Source organism: Homo sapiens, chromosome 5 (genome assembly GCF_000001405.40).
Source record: "Homo sapiens chromosome 5, GRCh38.p14 Primary Assembly".
Lineage (NCBI taxonomy): Eukaryota > Metazoa > Chordata > Mammalia > Primates > Hominidae > Homo > Homo sapiens.
In genome coordinates, this window is record NC_000005.10 from 121844118 (window position 1) to 121863612 (window position 19495).

Genomic DNA, 19495 nt, shown 5'->3' on the forward strand with positions numbered 1-19495 from the left:
TTATTGAACCATATTGGCTTGCAGAAGTGGCCAACTGCTTCTTGCTGGAAGGAAGAAGCAAACCCACCTGTCAGAGACAATGCAGAGGCACCAACAAGGCTAGTGCCAGTAGGACAATGCTTTTCCTCAAAATCGATCCACATCGCCCCTGATGGCCCCTTGTATTAGTTTCCTATGGTTGTCATAATAAAGTATCATAAACTAGGGGGCTTATATCAACAGACATTTATTCTCTTACAGTTCTGGATGCTAGAAATCCAAAATCACTGTATCTATTGGCAGGACCGTCTTCCTTCCAAAGACCCAAAGGAAGAATTCTTCCTTGCCTATTCTAGCTTCTGATTGTTACTGGCAATCCTTAGTGTTCCTTGGCTTGTAGATGCATCGCTCTAATTTCTGCCTCTGACTTCACATGGCCTTCTCTCCTCTGTGTATATGTGTCTGTCTAAATTTCCCTCTTCTTATAAGGACATCAGTCATTGAATTAGTAAATACCCTAAGCCAGTAATCTTATTTCAACTTGATTATATCTGCAAAGATCATGTTTTCAAATAAGGTCACATTCACAGGTTCTGGATGGGCATAAAGTTTGGGGGGGATATTATTCAACCCAGACACTCTGACATCAATAATTAGGCATCAATCATTAAGCATGGCCCAAACAGAGAAATACTGATGCTGACCCTGCTGTGAAATAGAAGGTTTATACTTAGAGGGAGCTACAAATCTGGTAAATATATACTGGCATCAACTGAGACAGAATGCTTGGGAGTGGATCTTGAGGGTGTAAACTGTGGCAGAGTGGGGAGAGTTCTAACTCTCCCCACTATACACAATATAAAGTTGTGCAAGAGCAGGAATTGGCCAGGCACGGTGGCTCATGCCTATAATCCCAGAACTTTGGGAGGCCAAGGTGGGCAGATTGCTTGAGGCCAGGAGTTTGAGACCAGGCAGACCAACATGGTGAAACCTGTTCTCTACTAAAAACACAAAAAATTAGCCAGGCATGGTGGCATATGCCTGTAGTCCCAGCTGCTTGAGAGGCTGAGGCAAGAGAATCGCTTGAACCCAGCAGGCGGAGGTTGCAGTGAGCTGAGAACGTACCAATGCACTGCAGCCTGGGCGACAGAGCGAGACTCTGTCTTCCAAAAAAAAAGCGGGTTTTGTTGATGTGGGGGCACTTTTCCCATGACTAAAGATTTAATTCCCTGACAAGAGTGGTTTTGTTGATGTGGGGGCACTTTTCCCATGACTAAAGATTTAATTCCCTGAAGAGACCCTAGAGAAAATATTAATACACTGCTGCATGGCTCTTTGAAATCTTCAAAAAACTGATACTACATGTTAAATGATACAGAAATAGCAGAACTGCCTGTGCAGAATTGAGGGAGAGATCAAGTTCAGAAAATGAGCATGCTGGAATGGATTTACTGTATAAGGCCCAAGAATCCACCAGACGACCACATTCCTTAGATGGCAGAGTACACCGTTTACACAAGGCAAAAATGAACGTGATAATGCGGGAGTCATCAACATTATTCAGAAGATCAGTTGTATAGGCCAGGACTGATTATTAAAGATGCTGTTATATAGAACTAAGTTCCCTAGTATCAATGAGTATGACAGGATTCAGAATAGCAAGGCCAGATAACAGCGTTTATCCACTAGAGAGAGGTAAATTGAATCTACCACAATAGCCAGAAGATCAAACGGCAACCAGGGGCATTGACCTGCCAACACGTATGGTAATGTCTATGGACCATGCTGTTACTAGTGGCAAGACAAGTGAGTAGCCAGCTTGAGATACGTGATATAATAAAAAGGGGTCCAGAGTGGATGATATCAGCTGCCTCAATGGAAATTTATAATCAATTGTCTAGTTTCCAGACATGATCCAATTCTTTTTTTTTTTTAATTGAGACAGGATCTCGCTATATCGCCCAGGCTGGTCTGAAACTCCTGAGCTCAAGCCGTCTGCCCCTCTTGGCCTCCTAAAGTGCTGGGATTACAGGAAAGAGCCACTGTACTTGGCCTTTGACATGAGCCAGTTCACACCCAGACATAGCAATTGAACATGTGTCTCCTTGTAGAATGACCCTGCAACTACACAGCAAGGAGATATAGCTGTTTTGATTGTTTTTGAGACAGGGTCTCATTCTGTCATCCAGGCTGTAGTGCAGTGGTGCAATCACGGCTCATTGCAGCCTTGAACTCCTGGGCTCAGGCGATTCTCCCACCCCAGCCTTCCTAGTAGCTGGAACCAAAGATATACACCACCAAGATCAGCTAATTTATTTATTTATTGGAGATATGGGTTTTCCTTATGTTGCACAGGCTGATCTCAAACTCCTGATCTCAAGCAAGCAATCCTCCCTCTTCAGCCTCCCAAAGTGCTGGGGTTGCAGGTATATGTAGTTTGAATTAACTCTTTCCTTTCCTAAAAGGATCTATGGCCATTTGCTTGTGTAATAATACACTAGAGAAAGAAAAATACCCAATTCTTTAAGGATTGGATACAGAGTCCAACTGATGCTGATATCCAGAAACCCAAAGCACGACCATAGCCCATTATTATAGTAAGGGTAGAGGGAAGACCTGTGACAAATGAAGTCCTCCCCTAGGGTTATCTCACTGTGGATACAGTATATCCATGGACCTACCAGTTGCTATCATCTCAGTTCCTAAATGCATAATTGGAATGCATATACTTAGCAGGCACCAGGACCCTCACATTGATTCCTTGACATATGGAGTAAAAATCTCCACAGAAAACTCAAGAGGAAGCCCCTGAAACTTCCCATTCATCAAAGTTCTTCAAACTAATGAGTTCCACATCCTGTTTGGAATGGCAGAGGTTAGTTTTACCCCTAAAGAATTAAATGAGGCAGGGGTGTTGGTTCCCACTCTATCACCATTTAATTCACCAATGTAGACTCTGCAAAAAACAAAAAAATATTAGTGAAGTATGGTGGACTTGTCCAAGCAGTATCCACAATCACAGCTCTTATCCTGGGTGTGGTGTCTTTACTAAAACAGACTAACTAAGTCTCTAGTTCATGGTATGTGAATTTTGATTTGGGTGCATATGTAATTTTCAGTATTCTTCATGAAAGCATCTGAGGTAGTTTACATCCATCTAGGATGGGCAACAGTATATATTCAGTCTTGCTCCAGAGATATGCTGACTTGCCTGCTGTCATGATAAATCTAAAGACAACTGGCTTATTTGAACATTCCACCATATTGGAATGATGACACTAAGTTAATAGACCTAATAAGTGAAAAAGTACTCTGGATAGTCAGCTAAGAGGGTAAAAGGTAACCAGTGACTGGAATATTGGTGAAGTTTTAAGAGTCCAGTGGTTTAAGAAAAGCCAACATCTCTTGCAAGGTAAAGAGTTACTGCACCTTGCACTTCCATTCCTAAATGAATAAAATGAACGAATAAAGCAGAATTTGCTAGACCTCTTTTGGTTTTAAAGGCAGTATGTACTACACTTGGGAGTTTGGTTCTGACTCGTATATGGTTCTTACCTAAAACGTTCCCAGTTTTCAGTGGACCCCAGCATAAGGCAAAGAAAAGTACTCCATAGCTGAGTCCAACTACTCTCGTCAGAATTCTGAGAGACTTCCTAGTGATAACAGAGCAATACATATATTATATGCTTTTTCTTTTCCCAAAAAGTAGAAAACAAACCCTCTATTGTTTTCTATTCAAAACCCTCAAATATTCCATTAACAGCAAGTGCATAATCCATAGTGATCAATGGACTTATCTCCACCCTGGCTTCATCACATTACAGGCTTCTGATAGCAAGTAATTTTAGAAGGGACCAAGGTCAGCAATGAAAATGAAGAGTTGCTTACATGACTGACTTTGTTATATAAAAGAGAATTTTTTAAAAATGAGAAAAAGAGAAAAATGTCTTCATTACAAATGCAAATATAAAGGGGTCAAGTTACTTTCTACCTTTTTTCCTCATTGTTTATGACTCTGATCCCATCTGTTAATGTAAAAGAGTAGCATATTCTTCAAAGATTTTTCAAGGTATTTAAATTCTAAAAAATGTTTAGTGTTTAAAATAAAGTGCTTTCAAGTAAATAATATAATAAAATGTGATCTATATATTACATAAATCAAAACATGGCTTAATAAAAAAATCCACATTCATATAGTTAATTTCCCATTGGCAAAGCATTTTCACATATATCATCAATGATTGTCTAATATATCTATAAAGGAGAAATGAGTGAATATTGTTATTCCTTTGGAGACTGAAACCACCAAGTACAGAGATTTTCTGCAAAGCCTCAAGTAATTTAAATTAAAGTGAAGATGTCTCCCGATATACTTTATGAAAATGTATTAGGCTAAACTGGTATACTGTATGAAATAAGAATTTCTATTCCAATATATTTGGACATTTTAAAGCATTTATATGTGTTTATTTTTTAATATGTGTCAAGCTGTAGGCTGAGGCCTGGGGATTTAAAAATGAATAAATAGTAGGCTCTGCCCTTAAGGACATATACATACACACATGAATATACAAGGAATTATAACATAATACAATATGCTCTTGATATAAGCAAAATACTTAACCAAATACAAAGTAATGATTAATTCTGAATGATGCTATATAAGACTTTACAGAAAAGGTAATATATTTGATGAAACAGTGAAAGGAGGTTGGAAAGATGAGTTCTAGCTGCGAGGAAAAGAAAGTGAAGAAGCAGAGAGAAATCCAGAGAAGCCTGAAAGCTTAGGGTGTTTTAGAGGAAGCGAAGACATTACAACTAAGAAAGAAATGAGTTGTGAAGAGTGGTGGGCAATGATCTCGGTTTGTATTTTTTTAGAACATTAATTTTACTATAAATACTAGAAATCAAAATGCCCAGAAGATAAACATAAGACCTACCACATCCTTGCATTTTCAAAGTCTAGCAAATTATATGACAAGTTTTGTAATATGAAGAAGAAATATTTTTGACAAATTAACATAATATTTCAATGTGTATTGTGTTTAATGGCATTTCTGCATTACATTTCATGTATTACATTTGTTTTATATCTATGCATTTTATTACTTAGGGGATAAACATTTATATGAAGAGCATCAATTTTCCTAAAACGCTAGTAGCAGCAGTCAACATTTAATACTACTCTAAACAATCATTTTCATAACCTCTCTTTAGGGTACTATATTTTAGGAAGAGAAAAATTTGGGGGAAAATAAAATTAAAGATGGGTGTGTTGAAGTGAAAACTAGTGAGAAATTACCTGGTGAATATCAATCACCTTCTAATAGCAAAGTTTAAGTGCAACTAGATCTTAAGCATCCCTTTTATTTACAGGGAAATAATATAATGTAATATAGCTTTTAAGAAGCTATATGAGAGCAGGGAGCTTACTAGTAAACTACAAGTTTGACACTCCCATATAATACAAGAATTTTCACCTCACTACCCATATATTATAGCAACAATATAATATCTGTAAACATCCTTTGTAAGCTGTAAAGGTCTTTTCATATTCAATAACAATAATACTTGCTTACTGAATAATTAAGATAATTAATTTTGAATAATTAAACAGGAATTATCCAATAAAAACTACTAAAGGGCATTCCAAGTGCTTATCCTGTGTCAAGCACTGTGATAAATGCTCTGTATGCATTCTCTTATTTAATTCTTTCAACCACCCATGGGAGGTAAATAGTTTTCTCAATTCACAACTAAGGCAACTAACCTAGAAAGATAATCTGAGCTGACCAAGGAGATAAGGGAAAGTAATATAGACACAGTAATATACAGATAACATAAAGAAGACCTAAACAGAAGCAGTGCTAATATCAAAGACAGATAATAACCATAAGAATCAAACAACCATAACAAAAACAAATAGCTCAATATATGAATGGACAAAGATTTGAATATACACTTCACCAAGAATATGTGGTTGACAGAAGGCAGGTGCAAACATACTTCAATGCAAATTAAAAACACATTGAAACACCAGCACACAGTCATTAGAAATTTTTAAATTTTAATTAAAATTAAATGACTGACAATACCATGTGTAAGCATAAAATGTGAAGGAACTTGAACTCTTAACACTCTGCTGATGGGAATGTAAAATGCCATAATCACCTTGGAAAACAGTTTGGAAATTTCTTTAAAAAGTAAACATATACCTATCATGTAATCCGGCTTTTCCTACAAGGTATTTTATCAAGAGAAATGAGAGCATCTGACCACAGAAAGACTTGTACAGGAATGTCTATAACGACTTCATTTTAATAGCCAAAAACTATAACAACAAAAATGTCCATCATCAGATGAAAGGATAAACGAATTGTGGTATATCCATACAATGGAATACTACTCAGCAATAAAAGGAACTACTGAAACAAGATACAGTGTGGATGGAACCTAAAATAATTACACTGACTAAAAGAAAGCAAGTAAAAAGGAGCACATACTGTTGACTCTATTCACATGAACTATCCGCAACTGCAGTTTATTGTATGTCAATTATATATCTCTATATAAAGCTGTTTTATATGTCTGTATTCGCTTTTGTGGGTCTGTAATACACGTTTTTCATTTTTTTAAACCTCTGAGCATTACCATCAACATTTTAACAATAGTAATCTCGGCAGAAGACGAATTAGGGTTGTTTTGAACTTTCTTCTGCGTGCTTACCCTTTTTTCTTCAGTACCCTGCAACAATTACATAAATACTATTTTAACACTAAATGCTATTTAAAGTTTAATTTTTAAAGAGCTATTTTAAGAGGATATAATCTCTGCACTAAGAAAAGATGGGAAAGTAACATATTTTGAGTTCAGAGGCATTTTATTCCTCCTAGGGTTTCTACGGTATCTCATTTCTCATTCTTTCTTTCTTTTTTCTTTTTTTTTTTTTTTTTGAGACGGAGTCTTGCTCTGTCGCCCAGGCTGGAGTGCAGTGGCTCGATCTCGGCTCACTGCAAGCTCCGCCCCCCGGGTTCACGCCATTCTCCTGCCTCAGCCTTCCAAGTAGCTGGGACTACAGCAGCCTGCCACCACGCCCGGCTAATTTTTTGTGTTTTTAGTAGAGACGGGGTTTCACCGTGTTAGCCAGGATAGTCTCGATCTCCTAACCTTGTGATCCGCCCGCCTCGGCCTCCCAAAGGCGTGAGCCACGGCACCCGGCCTACAGTATCTCATTTCTTTACAATGAAGATACATTTTATGTTTAAAAATAAACTATGCATGTATTTTAAAAGAAACAGAGTCTTAAAAATTTTCCCACTATGCTGGCAATTGTTTCCACACTTACATGTTAAATAACCAGTTAATTTATGTACACTTGCTTTGGATGTGGACCTTTATTCTCACAGGTAAATTGGTGACTTTTGGTTCACCCTTTTCACTGTGTTGCCAGTCCAACTCTTGGTCCTTATGAAAAGGTCAGAGAAGAAGGGGGAGTACAGCTTGGTCCCTTCTTTGGGAAGTCCCAGGGCCTACTCTCCTGACAGCCTTTTTAACGCAGGTGAAATCAGTGACAATCGCCAAAGAGCAGAAATCTCACGTCGTCGGTGGGGGCGAATGCTCACGGAATCGTGACTGGGCATCTGCGCTGGCCTCCGCCTAGACTGCGCCCCACGCGGGTCCCCAGAGCCCCCGGCGGCGCTTCCCCAGCGCCCTCCGCGTGGAACCCCGCGCCTCTGGAACAGAAGGGGCGTGTGACGCAGTCACCGTTGCCTAGGGCCACGTTCTGATCAGATCTGACGCCTCCAGCGCCCGACCCCACGCCAAGAGGGCCGGGCCTCAGTTTCCCCACTTCCAAGGAGGCGGCGCTATGCTGTCCTGCTTCAGGCTCCTCTCCAGGCACATCAGCCCTTCGCTGGCGTCTCTGCGCCCGGTGCGCTGCTGCTTCGCGCTCCCGCTGCGTTGGGCCCCGGGGCGCCCCTTGGACCCCAGGCAGATCGCCCCCCGCCGCCCCCTGGCCGCAGCCGCCTCCTCCCGGGACCCTACCGGGCCCGCCGCCGGCCCCTCTCGGGTGCGCCAGAACTTCCACCCCGACTCCGAGGCTGCCATCAACCGCCAGATCAACCTCGAGCTCTATGCGTCCTACGTGTACTTGTCCATGGCCTATTACTTCTCCCGGGATGACGTGGCCTTGAACAACTTCTCCAGGTATTTCCTTCACCAGTCCCGGGAGGAGACCGAGCACGCGGAGAAGCTGATGAGGCTGCAGAACCAGCGAGGAGGCCGGATCCGCCTGCAGGACATCAAGAAGCCGGAACAGGACGACTGGGAAAGCGGGCTGCATGCCATGGAGTGTGCTCTACTCTTGGAAAAGAACGTGAACCAGTCGTTGCTGGAATTGCACGCTCTAGCCTCAGATAAAGGTGACCCCCATTTGTGCGATTTCCTGGAAACCTACTACCTGAATGAGCAGGTGAAGTCTATCAAAGAACTAGGTGACCACGTGCACAACTTAGTGAAGATGGGGGCCCCGGATGCTGGCCTGGCGGAGTACCTTTTTGACACACATACCCTTGGAAATGAAAACAAGCAGAACTAAGCCACGAGCTGCCTTCCTCCCAGGCTAGTGGATCCAAAGACCAAAGTCAGCTGTCTCCTGCTTTCTTGCCCTTAAAATCACCTCCATCTTTATATTCTTCTGTTATACTATTCCTCCAATAAAGTGATTTGTAGAAAAAAATGTTTTGCCCATGTTTAACAAGGGCTTTTTACTAACCATCAAGGCAGTTATTTTCCCAGGCTCGAAGATAGCACAGGTAACTATGGTATAGAAAAAGACTCCAAAAAGCTACTGAAAGAGGGTGCAAACTAACGTTCTCCAGTTGCCAAGTATTATCAGAATATGAACCTACACTTAAATTCTGTGATTTTTAATTCAACAAGTGCCTGCCATATTCAATACCTTATGCAAAACGCTAAAGTGGGAAAATGGATAAAAATATACAAATAACTATAAGTGAAGAATATTTAGTACTGTGAAAATTATACATGCAAAAATGCTATGACAGCTTTTGCCTTTTCCCAGTGTGTCCCAAGAAGCAGTACTGTCTGGAGATCGTTTTTTAAAAGAATTCGTAGTCAAATTTGGGATAAGCTACATGAATTATCAGTGTTAGTCTTGGAAAATCACAGCATATATTAACATTTTAAGGGCTCTGGGAAGTTTTGCAGTTAATAAATATAAAAGCTTTAATTATTTTTGTTTAGCTCAGTGTTTTCCAAACATATGCAATCTCAGTGTTTTGTTGTTTTAATGTTGGTAATATAACAAACCAGACCTGATTCCACACTCTATATACTTCACCATTGAGTCTCTCTTTTAACCTGCCAAGAAGAGTGAAAACACTGCATAAAACACCTTTCTGTGGTCTTTAAAATGGACAGAAAAGAACATGGGGGTTTAAAAAGTCAAGAAGGGATCCAGAATAGAGGAGGCATCTAGTCAGGTAGATGTTTTCTTTAGGCATGGAAGTGAGGAGTGGGAGAGTCCAGCATTGGAATAGACTAGAACACTGAGTGGTGATTGGAAAGATGAGCTGCGGCAGAGTACAGAGGTGAGAAGGGTTTGGGCTTAATTCAGGGGACAAAAGCAAGGTCTTCAAAGGCTCTTAACAGAAGAAAACAGTGCTCAAAATGGAGCAATCTGAGGCTTAGTCTGGTTATACAGAATAAGAATCTGAAAACAACCTAAATATCTCTGTTAGTTTGGGTTTTCTGAAACACTGATGCCAAAATGGGATTAAGTGTACAAGAAATTAGGGGAAACAGACCTCTGAGAGAAAATGGAAAAGCAGCAAGTGGGAGAAGCAGGGAGAGCCTTCAGACTTCATGCAAATGTAATCCCCCGGGGGGATGAAGAAGGGAAGTTGTGCATATTTCTTTGGAAAGGTCTGCAAGGCTGTCAGGGAGGCCTCAAGCCAAAGTCACTAGTCAGGAATCCCAAGTCTCCCAGAAATGAGCCTAAGTACCTTTCCTGTATTTAGGTATTGACTGGGAAGTATGGACTTGCAGCAAACCAAGTAATGAATCAATTTCAGAGCACGGCAGCTGAGGCTCTTGGCAAATTGTGCTCCCTGCAGTCCAAGACCTGAGAGCTACATGCATATTACGGCACAAGCGCAACAAAATGGCTTAGATTAAAACACCAAACACTCAGTGTTTTAGATTAATACACAGAATACTCTGCAGCTATTGTTAAATATGGTTTTGTACAAACACCTTATGATGTGGATAGAAATTCTCAATGTTTTATGTTAAACATGAGGAATATTACAAGATGGGGTTATATAATTCTATATGTACAATTATAAGACATATTATATACGTATATAAAATGACAAAGTATATATACCAACAAGCAAAGCCAGAAAATTCTTTTAAATAGTGAGATTGTGGTTGATATTTATTTTCTTTAATTACATGTCTCTTAAAAATACATTTGTTATAATGGACAGCCATTATTATAATAAGACAAGAAAAGCAAAACGTAAGATGGAGGGAAAAGCAATAAAGGCCAGAATTATGGTAAAACCAATGGAAATACAAACAGAGATTCTGGTAAGAGTTTAGAGGCAGAATCATTTCAATTTTGTGATCAATTTAATGACTGGAGCTAAAGAAATGAGGTGTGGGAGAAAACGTGATGGGTCTAAAATTTGAGTTACTAGAGAATAGGATATTTGAGAATAGAGATCTCAGCAGGAGGGATAATTGGAGGTGGGGGAATGCATAATGATTTTTGTTGATTTTGTTGATCATTCTCACTTTACATTCTATTCTTAAGTGGGCCTATTTTGCTGCTCAGGAATCCTGTTATATTTCTATACAAAATCTCTTCAATTTTTCTAGATGAATGGTTTTCAAACTGTACCTTGCAGCCCATTAGTGTGTCACGAAATATTTACTGAGTCACTACACACGTTTTGTGAATAAAATAGAGTAGAATTGAAGCGACAGTAGGTGAAGTAAGGGTATTATTTCCTGAAGCTCTTGTTTCAGGTGTGTGAGTGTGTGAGCGAGAGAGAGAGAGAGTGTGTGTGTGTGTGTGTGTTGTGAATTTACATCCTGGATAGTGATATTTCTTATTCTGTGTTTCTGTCAAAAACTTTCAATAGCTGCTCTCCTAGATAATTATTTTACAGATTCTCTTTTCTCCTCAAATCTCCAAATCTCCTCTCCCTCCCCACTGTCAGTTGATAATCCGTTTACTTCACTGAGAAATTAGAAGTACTAAAGGAGAACTTCACACTTTTTCATCATTGAATTAATCATATGCTTATATCTGTGTTCACTTAGATTTTGTTCTGCTAGAATGGTTGTTGCATCAGTGTTCCTCCTTAAAACCAATGTCCTCAATCCTAACCTCCCCACATAGGCAAGGACACAAGGATATCACACCTATGGTTATCCTCTCTCTTGCAGCAGCTTTGCCTTCTTTATCACTTAGTACCATGAGAATGCAAACACTGTATTATTTCTCCTCATCCTTAAAAAAATGCCACCTCTGGACTCACATTCCATCCAGCAAACACCAAGCTACCCCTCTTTACTCATCTCCCTCGTACAACAAAACCTCTTGAAAAAGTTGTTCTTCTTCCTGTCTCCACCTCTTGTTCTGCTCTCTCTTGATCCCTCCCAAGGAAGCCCATGTTCACCACTACACTAGCCTTTTTATTTCCTGTCAATAAAAATAGTGACTTTCATGTTAATAAGCTCAATGGTCAATTTCCCAGTCTTCCTAGAAGTACTTGTCCATTCTCTGTTGAAACATGTGCTTACTGTTCTGTATTTCAGTCGCTCTTTCTAATCTCTTCCCATCTTTCTGACTGTTAAAGTTTGGAGTGTCCCAGAGCTCAGTCCTCACATCTGGACTTCTTTATCTATACTTGTTCCTTAAAGATCTCATCCTATCCGGGGACTTTTATTTAAACATATATTGGTTAACAAATCGCATGTTTTAGTTTGCTTCAGCTCATCTTTGAACTCCAGACTTACATATCTAAATACCTAATCAATATTTCCCCTCAGATGCCTAATAGACACTTCATATTTAGCAGGGTCACAGCCATACTCTTTATTTCACCACCCTCCAAAACCTGTTCAACCCAGTCTTTTGCTTCATAATGAATAGAAACTCCAATCTACCAGTTTCCATGGCTCAGTCATCCTTGACTACTCTCTTTCATACCAAAGTCAGGTCTTTCAGCAAGTTCTTTCAGGTCTTCCTCTAAAATAGATCCCGAATCTCACCACTTTTTAAAGGCTTCATCATTGCCACTTCTGTACAAGCTCTCACCTTTTTTTTCCATTATCACATTTTATGTCACACTCTGTTTGTTTTTTTTTTTTAATTAATATTCCCGGCAATCCAAATATGTCACACTCTTAACAGATCTAACTGCTTTCACACCTAGGAACATTCAGTCACTTCTTCACAAAGCAGCCAAAGTGTTCCTTTGCAAGTATAAGTCATTTATTGTTATTTCTTTGCTCAAAACTCTCCTATAACTTCTTTAATTTGGAGAAAAAGTCAAGGTCAGGATCCTTACTATAGTCCACAAGGTGCTTTGTGATATGAGATCCTAAAATCTTTTTGACCTGATATTTCTATATGTACTCTGTGTGTGTGCATGTGTGTGTGTGTGTGTGTAAGAGGTGGTAAGATCTGAACACAGTGTGCCCGTGGCACACAGACTGAGAGGTGCAATTCAAGCTAAGCATTCCCTTAGGGGACCAATTAATAATGATTCCATAGGAATCATTGTGCAGCACCTCTGTCTGTTCTGCAAAGCAATCTTCCTAAACAAGTACCTTCATTTTTTCTAACTGGGTCCAATCCTGTTTACAAATAGGTTTTTGAGGGCGGTATGCCTCAATTATAGGAGCAGATTTATTATGGTAAATACTGAGATCAGAAAGCATGTGTAACTGTGTCATAGAGTGATTACATCCAGGCATTATTGCCAGCCAAGATTGATAAATATGCCCAATAAGTATAATTGTTCTCTGTGTCAGCTCTTGTTGAAGAAATACTCACAGCAATAGTGATCACCACTATCATAGCTACCATTAAATTATTCATTGTGACTGGTTGTCCTGCTTTCCTCAGATTTTCTTCCGCCATCTCTGACAGCTTCTTGATCTGTCCCCAGGTGGGTGCTGCGCTCGACAGGTGTTGCTTGTGACAGATGGGGTCCTCCTCAGCGTCAGTCTCAACATGGCTGCAACTGAGGGGTCCTGGGGATCCTCCCGGAATCTGACTCATAAGGTTTCAGGTGTCTTGATGGTATCCAAATCAGCTGTTGATTTTTGCCTGGAGAAACACAAGCATAACCTCTACCCCAAGTTATTATTTTACCTTCAGAATTATATGGGATACCAGTAATGTGTTTAATATTCCACATAGAGAAAAATTTAGCCAGAGCTTGGCTAGTATAGCCAGGGGCATTATCTGTTTTAATAGAAACTGGGATGCCCATCACCGCAAAACATTGCAAAAGATGACATTTAACACAGGCAGAAGACTCTCCTGTTTGGCATATAGCCCAGACAAAGTGAGAAAAGGTGTCCACACACACATGTACATAAGCGAGTCTCCGAAACGAGGGAACAGGTGTGACATCCATTTGCCAAAGTGAGTTAGGTTCCAGTCCTCAAGGATTAACTCCTCCTGTAAAAGATGAGGAATGTACCATTTGGCAAGTTGGGCATCGCTGGATAATAGCTTTAGCTTCTTTCCAGGTAATGCTGTATCTACGTTTGAAACCAGAGGCATTAACATGAGTTACATTGCGAAAGTGTCTAGCATTAGATATTGCAGTAGCAACTAGGCGATCAGCCGTTTGATTCCCTTTAGTTAAAGGTCCTGGAAGAGGTGTATGAGCTCTAATGTGAGTGATGTAAAAAGGATGCATTCTACTCCTAACTGCTGTTTGCAATTGGGTAAATAAAGTCACCAGTTGTTCATCTGTAAGAAATCGTAACTGAGCATTTTCAATTAACTGTGTGGAGTGAACCAAGTATGAAGAATCAGAAATCACATTAATAGGCATATCAAAAGCAGTCAATACCTCAATTACCACTACAAGCTCCGCTTTTTAAGCTGAGGTATAGGACGTCGGAAAAACTTTACTTTTTGAGCCAGAATAAGAAGCTTTACCATTACCAGACCCATCTGCAAAGCAAGGAAAACGCTTAGCAGGCTACAGGTTGTTTACTGCAGGAATTCTAAATGCAAACTGTTCACAGTCTTGCTCAGCTAAAGGGATAGTAAAGAAACAGTCTTTTAAATCTATGACTATTAAAGGCCAATTTTTTGGAATTATAGCAGGAGAAGGCAATCCTGGCTGTAATGCTACCATAGGTTGTATAACTGAATCGATGGCTCTTAAGTCAGTAAACATTCTCCATTTACCTGATTTTTTTCTTAATTACGAAAACTGGAGAATTCCAAGGAGAAAATGTTGGAGCTATGTGCCCATTTTCTAATTGTTCAGCAACTAATTTCTCTAAAGCCTCCAGTTTTTCTTTACTTAGCGGCCATTGTTCTATCCAAATTGGCTTATCTGTTAACCATTGTAAAGGTACAGGTTCTGGAGGCTTAACAATGGCTGCCATCAAAAATTTTTTCCTAACCTTTGGCGGGAACTTTGTTTTTCCGCTTGAAGCAGTTCTTTCAAACCTTGCAAATTTTTTTCTAGTCCCATACCAGGGACATACCTCAATTCATGCATTGTATATTGACTTTGAGGGCTGTATAATTGTTCTGGAATTAGAAGTTGTGCTCCCCATTGTTGTAATAAATATCTTCCCCATAAATTTATAGGTACAGAAGTTACAATCGGTTGAATAGTCCCAGGTTGTCCATCAGGCCCCTCACGATGCAAAATATAAGTACTTTGATATACTTCAGCGGCTTTACCAACTCCAACTATATTAAATTGAGTGGGTTGAATTGGCCACGTGGACGGCCAGTGCTGTAGAGAAATGATTGAAATGTCCGCTCCTGTATCTACCAAACCTTTAAATTTCTTTCCTTGAATAGTTATTTCACAGGTAGGGCGTTTATCAGTAATTTGATTTACCTAATAAGTTGCTTTGCCTTGTTTATTTGTGCTTGCAAATCCTCCTGTTCGTTTAATTTCACTTTTTCCCATTCCCACATACGGCACCATCAGGAGCTGTGCTATGTGCTCTCCTGGCTCTGCTTTCCAGGGAACAGAAGTAGATATAACAATTTGAATTTCTCCATTGTAATCGGAATCAATGACTCCTGTATGTATTTGTACGCCTTTTAAACTATCGCTAGACCTTCCTAAAAGTAATCCTATAGTCCCTGCTGGCAAGGGTCCACCAACTCCTGTCGGGACCTTTTGCGGGGGTTCCCCAGGCAAAAAGCTCACAGCTTTTGTGCAGCATAAATCTACTGCGGCACTACTGGCTGTGGCAGGGGACAGACATTGTATAGGGGTGAGGGAATGGCCTGAGCTGGAAATGCCCTGGTTTAGAACGGGGCCCGGGACAGGCCCCTCATGGCGTTTCCCGAAATCGGGTTCCCATCTTTATCAAACTTAGAGTGACACTGACTAGCCCAGTGTTTTCCTTTTTTACATTTTGGACATATTTCAGGATCAGCAGTTTTCTTTTTTCCCCTATCTGGTGGCCTGACTCACTGATTTTTTCCACATTCTTTTTTAGTATGAATAGCTTCTTTAAATTCTTTGAGTAATTTAAAAGGAAAAGGTTCAAATGTATCTGTAATATTTCCCTGTTGATCTAGGGGGTGTATTCTAACAGGGAACTGCCAAGCCTCTAAATCACCCTCTTGTCTAGCTTGCTGAATTCCTGCCTGAATAGAACTAAGAGCAGTCACTTGAGGCGCTGCTGCTGCTCAAACAGTCACTGGGGCAACTGTTTTTCACCCAGCGTCCTCCAGAAAAGAAAGATCTGGGGGGTCATTTTCTTCAAAATAATAAGGAGGGTGTGCAGAATGGTAGGGATGAACCTCTCCTTCCTTTGCCGCTTTAGCTTTAGCCAGCAAATAAACATGCTCTGTAACCTCTTCTGCTACTTCGCTATACTCTTGTTCCTCCTTGTTATCTGTGAAAAAGTTCCAAGGTGGAGCGAACCAGACCCCATACCTGTCCCATTGTTACCCTGATGCTTCCGAGCTCCCCTTCTTACTCACCACAGGGATTGCTTTAAGAGTACTCGGTGTCCTCCAGCTAGTTTTCCGTTCCAACCATCGCTCTTGCGACCCTTCGACCTGGATTCGAGCCCCCACGAATGGAAGCCACTTGCTGAGACCAGCTCGGTGGAGGAGACCCTAACCCAGCAGCTCTAGAGGAATTAAAGACACACACACACAGAAATATAGAGGTGTGAAGTGGGAAATCAGGGGTCTCACAGCCTTCAGAGCTGAGACCCCCAAACAGACGTTTACCCACATGTTTATTAACAGCAAGCCAGTCATTAGCATTGTTTCTATAGATATTAGATTAACTAAGATGGGCCAAATTAAAGAAATAGGTTTGGCTAGTTAACTGCTGCAGGAACCTGCCCTGAAGGCATAAATCGCTCATGCTTATTGTTTGTGGCTTAAGAATGCCTTTAAGCGGTTTTCCGCCCTGGGCTGGCCAGGTGTTCCTTGCCCTCATTCCAGTAAACCCACAAACTTCCAGCTTGGGCGTCATGGCCATCATGAACATGTCACAGTGCTGCAGAGATTTTGTTTATGGCCAGTTTTGGGGACAGTTTATGGCCAGATTTTGGGGGGCTTGCTCCCAACAACAATATGCATACAATAATATATACTATATGCAATATATATAATATATACTATGTATAATATACATACACTAATATATGTATACAACATAATACTGTGTGTATATTGCTTGTATACACATGTATATTGGATATGGTATGTACTCTATGTATATTGTATATTGACCTCACTATTCACATGTATATGAATATATGAATATGATACCTTTTTGGTCTTAACATTCATATAGATATATGAATAGTTAGGTCAAAGAGGTATCATTATAACTCTTTCCCCAGGCCTTTCTCTCTTTCTCCCCACTCCCTCTCTCTCAATCTCTCTCAGTATCAGTTAATATCAGAGAAATGAGTCTGGAAGTTACTTATATAAAGTTGATAAGTAAAACCGTGAAAAAGCTGAACTGACAAAGGAAACAGGAGACAAAAGAGAAACAGAGGAGAGGGACCCAAATACAGAAACGTAGAAAGTGGGAGAAGGTCTACATTTAGGAGAGATTCAATAAAGAACTCATGAAAGGATACAGAAAAGGGAACACTGGACTTGTAAGCCATGAGATGACAGAACTTCTATCAAATCCTGCAGTTTAATTAGATTACGGATTCATCAGAGTTGGCCATCATAAGTCATTGATTATTTTAGAAGAGGGACTTCAAGAGTTGTGGTAAAATAAATGAGGTGGAGAACATAGAATTCTCTTTTGAGTTTATTTTTTAAAAATAATTGAAGGAGAAAGAGGGTAAGGATGGCTGTGAACATTGCTAGGCTAAGGAAATAAGCCAGCAAAAGGGAGAAACATGAGAGGCAAGTGACAGAACAAGGTTCCATGGAAGAACAAAGCACAAGATAAAGAGCTCAGATGCAACCTGGAAGAACATGTCATTCCAAACTAGCTTGCACGAAAGAGGGAAGAAGTGACAGGTTTTAAAATGAGAAGAGGGCACATTTAGGGTGCTTACATGGGTTGAGCTCAAACTTCTAAATAAAGGAGCAAATTAGATAATTGACTGAGATATGGCTATCTCTATACAGAAATATTTTAATTTTATGTTTCAGGTATTATTACAAAAATAAGTCAATGTAAGTTATTTTACAGATAGGAAATAAGTGTTTACCCTATGTCTAAAATTTAAATACAGAAGCTTTCACAATTTAAAAAATACGTTCCTGGAATTGAGCAAAATGGAGGGTATATTTCCAAACAGAAACCTAGTATTTGAAAGAAATGATTCCAAGCCCCTAAATATTAGAATAGATTGTATGAATTTTGAACATAAATACCCAGTGATACCAAGATCCAAGGCCTTCAGACTTGCAGAAAAACATATAGTACAGTCCCCTAACATTAGTAGCTCTTGAAAATCATCATCCTTCATATTCAATTATTAATCAGGTTTTGTGTAATTCATTTAAAAGGTAGAAATTTCTTGGAGAAGCCCTTAAAATTCATGCCAAGATCTCCCAGAAAAAAGAGTGAGTGTGTGTGTGTGCATGTGTGTGTGTGTGTGTGACCTGACTTTTTAAAATTTTGAACATGAACTTCAAGCTTTCTGCACTTGGATAAAAGGCAAGAGAAAACATCCAGCACCTTCAATGCAACAAAGAAAAGTGAGAGGAATGCATGGTGGAGAAAAAGACTCCCTCACAAGACATTTCTCCACTCCCTCCAAAACTGCACCAAGAGATGTATTCAGAAAATAGACGTCTGGGAAACACGCACAATTGCTAAGCAGAACTGACAACTGTATTATCTCTGCTTATAACAGGCTGTTAGCATAAACTGCCAAGCAGCTCTCAGGTAATAAAATCAGAAAAGTACATAGGCTTTGGGATGTGATTTTTAGCTTTCCTGAACTTCATATTTCTATTGTGCATGATTAAGACACTTAATAGGTATATTTGTCAATGAAGGAATAAATAAAGAAATGTGTGTGTGCATGCATAAATGCATATATACTGAGTATCAGATGGAATTCCAATGCCCAACAAGGAGTGGGACTGCCTGGCAATTCTGGACAACAGACACAGACATGCACTCAGGGTTGGGCTTCCTCCAAGCAAGCCGGCCAATTTCCCAGTACAGATGATGGCCAAATATTCTCTTGAGAAAGATATCTAATGCTTTTGGAAATACCTTAGTTTCTCTCAAACGCCCTAAGCACCATGTTTTCACAGATTGAAATAGCAAAAAGAATTTCCAATACCGTAAAAGGACTGCTAGACTACTGAATTGGAATTGCATGACCTATATACAGATCATAGGCAATGTAATCTAGTCATTAAGAGCCTCCCCTCGAGAAGGCAGAATACCTACATAAGAATAGCTACTCCACCACATACTGACTGTGTGGTTTTGGAAAGAAGTTAAACTGCCGGAGACCGATTTTTCTCCACTAAATAATAACCCACCACAAAGTTTATGGTGGGGATTAAATGAGATAATGCATATATAGTTCACATATTATCTGGTGCCTAGAAAATACTCAGTAAATATTAGCTGCTTAGAATTTGTGTTTTAAAGGGAGAGAAAGTGATGTGAATGTGTTTGTGAATTTTTTTGCTTATATATGCATAAACTATCTCTGGAAGGATAATGTCAGTTATCCTAAATGAAAAGAATAGTAGTTGGGAAAGGGAACACAGTAAGACTTTTTCATTGTATAGCCTTTAGTATCT

General features: G+C 39.7%; 1 protein-coding gene and 1 long non-coding RNA gene across 3 annotated transcripts in view; both read left to right on the top strand.

The window, feature by feature from the left end:
• The window catches only part of LOC105379149 (uncharacterized), a 49301-nt gene that overhangs the window by 14632 nt on the left and 15174 nt on the right, over nt 1-19495 (top strand). The window lies entirely within an intron of this gene.
• On the top strand, nt 7765-8716 carry FTMT (ferritin mitochondrial). The gene has a single exon (NM_177478.2). The coding sequence runs from the start codon at nt 7847-7849 to the stop codon at nt 8573-8575; it is 729 nt and encodes a 242-aa protein (NP_803431.1). The 5' UTR covers nt 7765-7846; the 3' UTR covers nt 8576-8716.